Source organism: Homo sapiens, chromosome 1 (genome assembly GCF_000001405.40).
Source record: "Homo sapiens chromosome 1, GRCh38.p14 Primary Assembly".
Lineage (NCBI taxonomy): Eukaryota > Metazoa > Chordata > Mammalia > Primates > Hominidae > Homo > Homo sapiens.
Genome location: NC_000001.11, coordinates 80275088 through 80280574, shown reverse-complemented (window position 1 = coordinate 80280574; position 5487 = coordinate 80275088). Strand labels below are relative to the sequence as shown.

General features: G+C 36.4%; 1 annotated feature.

Annotated features, from left to right (window-relative positions):
* Positions 535–704: an enhancer, noted in NCBI's record as "experimental_9048 CRE fragment used in MPRA reporter constructs". NCBI's record gives its function as "activates a minimal promoter by MPRAs in K562 erythroleukemia cells, with activity observed for both the introgressed and non-introgressed 1:80745641 variant alleles {active_cell/tissue: K562}" and the evidence as "EXISTENCE:reporter gene assay evidence [ECO:0000049][PMID:34662402]".

Genomic DNA, 5487 nt, shown 5'->3' with positions numbered 1-5487 from the left:
TGGAAAACAGCCATTCTCATTCATTTATATATTTTCTCTGGCTGCTTTTGCACTACAGCTTGCAAAGTTGAGTAGTTGTGACAGAAACCACATGGCTTGTGAGTTAGGCAGAATCCGAAAATGACCTCCCATGATTTCCTACCCTAATTCCCAGGACTGTGAATATTGAGGCTGTCTGGCCTGCATTGCAGCCCAACTTCTCCCTCTGCCCAATCTTGATTCTTTCTCTCTGGTCCACAGGCTTTGATTCAAAGTACACTCCCCTAGTCTGCTTCTCGGAAGACACAACCTGCATCACAGAGGTTGATCATCAAAGTCACTTATTTTCAAGGGTCTAGGCTGGACTCCCTTCCAAACTCTGTTATCCCTGCCACTTGTAAGAAACTGACAAATCCTTAACCATTCATGGCAATATGGTAATTTTCCTCTGGATTTTTTTTCCATGAATGATCTTCTTCCTTGGTTTGATTTTTTTTTAACTTATGAAGGATTCAGTCTTATGGTTATAATTAAGACTTAAAATGCCTAAATCTTGTACAATTGAGATGAGATTCAGGAGTTCCTTAAGAAAATGTCCCTGCAGGGAAGAAGCCCTGAAGCTTGAACTCCATCTTAAATCCTTCTTTGCTCATCAGTACTAGAAAGCTAGGGTTTAAAAGGAACCAAATTAGCTCTTGCATGTTTCACCTTTTAATAATTTGTCTAGAGTGGTATTCTTGAAAGAGTTCTGATTTGGAGTCAGAAAGCATTGGTTTGGGTCTACAGTCAGACAGACCTTGTTTGAACTCAGATCCTCCCATACTAGCTGCATGATCTTGAATAGGTTACGTAACTTCCTTGAATTTGAAACGTTCAGCTGTGGAGATATTAACATCTACCTCATTATCTTCCTCTGTGTATTATATGGAGAAAAATAATGTACAAAAGCACATAGATACTGCCTAGCACACTATAAGTCCTCAATAAAAATACAGTAATGTGCTGCATAGTGACATGTCGGTCAACCACACACGATATTTATGAGGTGTTCCCATAAGATTACAATGGAGCTGAAAAATTCCTGTCACCTAGTGATGTTGTAATTTCCAACAGAAATGGTGGTTGAATCGATTCTACCTTACTATTCTCACTCAAAATTTGAACTATTTGCACAAACTCTTTCTTCACCTGACATTTAATTGATTTCAACTAAAAATTGATATGATGATTTTAGACATGGCTATTAATTCCACCATACTGAAAACAATTTGGTAAACTTACTCTCTGGTGACCACAAATCAAAATAGTTACTCTATTACAATTAATTCCAAAATGAAGCTGCTATGAAAATTTATTTTATTATTATGATTGCATGGCATAAGTTGACATAACAATTACATACAGTTATAGAGACAACAAAACTCCTCAGCATAGCCATAGGCCTGCTCCTTGCAGCTGTTCTTAAATAAACAGGGAGGGACAAAGGGCAGCATGGATGACTTTCAGTGATTTCTTTTCAATTCACATCTATTTATACTGGAATTTTATATTAGAGTCTCACTATAATTGATAAAAGATTTACCCACTTTGATGAACACAGCATTGTTTCATCAAAGATTTAAAAAATAATATTGTTTGAGTGATCAACTCTCCAATGACATTTTGAACCTACAGAATTTTTCTTTATTTTTCTTGTGCAGAATCATATCAACTGCCTTCACTAAGCTAATCCAGCATATACATATTATCACACAACATTGTTAATGCTATCACTTTTTAGGTACCCCAAAATGTGAGAGTTTATACAGATACTTATAAGATTTCCATGAAATGTTTAAAGGTTAAATTTAGGAATTATGTAAGTAGCCTAAATCATACTTGTATGAATTTTACATATTGAATTTGGAATAAACATTTTATTATGATGTAGAAGAAATGTGTACAATAAATATTTTATGACAAGTCATAAAGTCTGTTATTATTTGTACTTCTGTAATACAATAGACCTGTTTCACAAGAATTTTTATGAAGATATATCTCTCTTTTTGTTTAAATGCAGAGGTTCTTTTTAACGCATCAATTTTACACAACAATCATGCATATCTGATATGTATCCATAATGGCCCTTCATAAAATCAGCATTTAAACTCTTACCTAATGCAGAGAAATTTGATTTACTGGAATATCTACCTTGATAGCAGCAGGAAAATGTTTACATAGGTTTTGCAGCATTAAAATTGTATTAAATTTTTTTGTACTTAACTGTAGGGCGAATGCAGAAAATAAAGACAAATGATTGACTAACATATGAAGGTTCTATATTTATAAACATATGACATACTGAAAAAACGGGGATGTCATTAATCTACTCTATTCATGTGTAAGTATTAACTTTCTATGCTTCTTATGATACATAAAAGAAATTATTATAACAGTAGAGAAGGTTTGTTGCATCAATACTAATGCTTAACAAATAGTGAGCTCTATGGGCCAGAGAAGTTTGTCATTGGCACACCATAGATCAATATTAAGTATGGAAACAATAAAGAAACATTGCAGTGCTTTTTCTTTGTAATCATTTTCCATTTTGTCCTTTGTGCTTTATTGAACTAAACTGGACTAAAAGCTCCAAATGAAAAGAAATTTTGGAAATAAATGATTGATAAATTAGCCCAGAATATTTGCATAGATAAGCAGTTTAATATTAAGGTGACATTTTTAATTTTTTTGGACACTGTTGACTTCGTTCCTTCTTAAAATTTTGTATTTTGTTTTTGTGCGTGTTTGTTTCTTTCATTGGTTTCTGCCACATTATCCTTTTTTAGTTCTTCTGTCAATTTTTAAACCACACACCACTCCTTATTTTTATTTCTCACAAAAACCTCTTGATCCACTCATTCTTTACAGAGTCCCTTGTTCTATTGTCTTTTCACTCTTCTACTTTTGCATACTTACCTTGAGGAATTTTATCCATTTGCATGGTTTCGACTATCAACTCTTTGCAGGTGACTCTGAACTCTATAATTCCAGACAACATTTGTTTCAAAATCCAGACTAATGATACCCAGTGCTTCTAAAAATTTCTATTTTGACATGCCAAAATAATCTGAAAATCTGTTCTGATCTTTTGCTGTCCGTTTCCTTAAACAATATCTCTGTAAGAGGAGCAAAAGCTAAATCTTCAATTGTAGCCCTATAGTTCTTCAGCTACTGCAGAAGAAGCAAAGAGAGGTGGGAAAGGAAAAGAAGATGCACAGAATTTTGGGGATAGGAGAAGCAATCACATGTCCAGCAAGAAGAGTGTCCAGATGTGTCCAGGCAAAATCGTGAAGCTTACCAGGTTCCTGCAAGAATTTTCCCAAAACAATCCTAGGTAAAGCTAATTCACTGGGCTTGGCATTCCCTTGTTGGACTGGCAGAAGCAAATAAACAATGCCCAAAACATGGGATAGTAAAGCATCATGTAGATTACAAATGCCCATTATAAGGCCTTAGAAATTTTTCTCATTTTATTTTTCTTTGTACTACCATAACGTTATATTGGTAGAAACTGAGAAAAAGAAATACCCTTATGTTGGTAGCAGCAAGTGAGGCAACAGAAATAAATAGGTAGAATTGAAACAGGAGAGTTCCCTGACCCCCATCACAGGATATGCAACAGGGGTGTGGCTCATCTGCTGGAGAGAGGGAGCCCACAGATGGGCAGGTGCAGGAGCTGGGGAGAGTGCTTTTGGGCTCAGGCACCATGGTAGTTCCTAGGGGTGGGTACCTGCGACTTTCGAAGCCCCAGTGGGCATCTTACAGTGCTCTTTTAGCTCTGCCTTCCATAGACGGCTTAAGTGTTAGCCAGTTTAGTGCCCTCTTGGTGCCCAGGTTCTTGTCTGGTGCCCAGGAATAATCAGGTCACTCATGGACTTGAAGGATGGTGAATGTGGGGGTTTCATTGAGTGTTGGAGGTGGCTTTCAGTGAGATGGATGGAGAGGTGGAAAGGAGATGGAGTGGGAAGATGATGTTCCCCTGGAGTTTGGCCCTCCCGCAGCCAATCTCCTCTCCGACTGTCCCCAGCCAAACTCCTCTCGAAGTTCAGGTGCTCCTTCTTTTCTCTCTTTTTCTGCTGCTCTGCCACTCTGCTGCTCTTCTTTTTGTCTCATCTGCTTACCTGCTTGTGGAGCCTGGAGTTTGGGGTCTATATGTGTACAGGATAAGGGGGTGTGACGGGCCAAAAGCCAACAATTGGGTGCAAAAATAGGTATTCCTGTCCCCATTTAGAGCTGTGGGTTTCCGGGCTTGAGGGTGTGGCCTTTGCTGGGGTACTGCGCTTTTTTACCCCAGTATATCCTTGCCTTCTGTCTGTATCCAGATGCCTCCAGTACATGACAAAGAATTTCTTAAGTTCATCACTAACAGTGATATCAAAAATACACACTTATCTCACACTGAAAACTTTACTATTATGTTGAAAACCAGAACAGATTAAGGAAAGTAAAGAACTATGGCAACCCAAACTATACTGTTGAAGACCTAAGTCAAAACAGCTTGTTTTTGTAAATTACCTATACCACCTCCATAGTTGTTCTGAAGACTATTAGAGAGTGGCAATGCTATGTACCTATTCAGGTGAGAAAAACTGAAATCATCCTAGGTTCCTTTAAACTCTCTTTCTCCATGTTCTTTTCATTACCAAGACCTATTTATCTTACCTCTAAAATATTTGTGGATCTACTCTTGCTCTAATTCCCTTTACTACTCTAGTGGCTCAGAGCCTCATCACTACTACCCTGGATTTTTACAACAGATTGAGTGAGTTTCTGGACTTTGAGGTTATCCACTTCCACTTCATCCATCCACATTTCTGTTAGTAATCTTTCTAAAATATAAATTGAATTATTTCAATACCATCTAATGGTTTCTAATGTTTCAGCATAAACTTCAGTTGTTTAGTATAAGACTCTTTATGCCATGCCCTGTGACTAGTCTTCCAATTCAATTTCTATTAATTGCTGCCCTTTCAAAACATAACATGATGTAGGCCTCTTTTTTCTGGACTAACTACCCTGGTCCACACCCTGTATATTATTATCTATTTGTATTTCAATAATTTGGTCACCTACCATCTCCAGAAAGAGGTTTTTATTTAACTTTCCTCTCTTTCCTTGTCCTTTTAGGCAGAACTAAAGATTTTCTTTTCTGTGCTTTACTTGTTCCAAAATAATTAACAAGTAAAACCTCAAAAAGTAAGGGCAGAAAACACTGTAACAAAATGTAAAAAGCAAACTACAAACTGGGGAAAAATAATTGCAGCATAAATGACACCCAGTAATAACCTTGATATATAAAGACCAATTTAAAAAGCAGAATAAAAAAAATGAGTAGACATTTTATAAAACAAGAAATATAAACAGCCATGCACATAAGAAAACATGTAAACATATTAATAATATAAAATACTGCATGTTGAAATATCCAAATATGACTTTTTAGTCAATCAAAATGTCCATCTAAAAAGG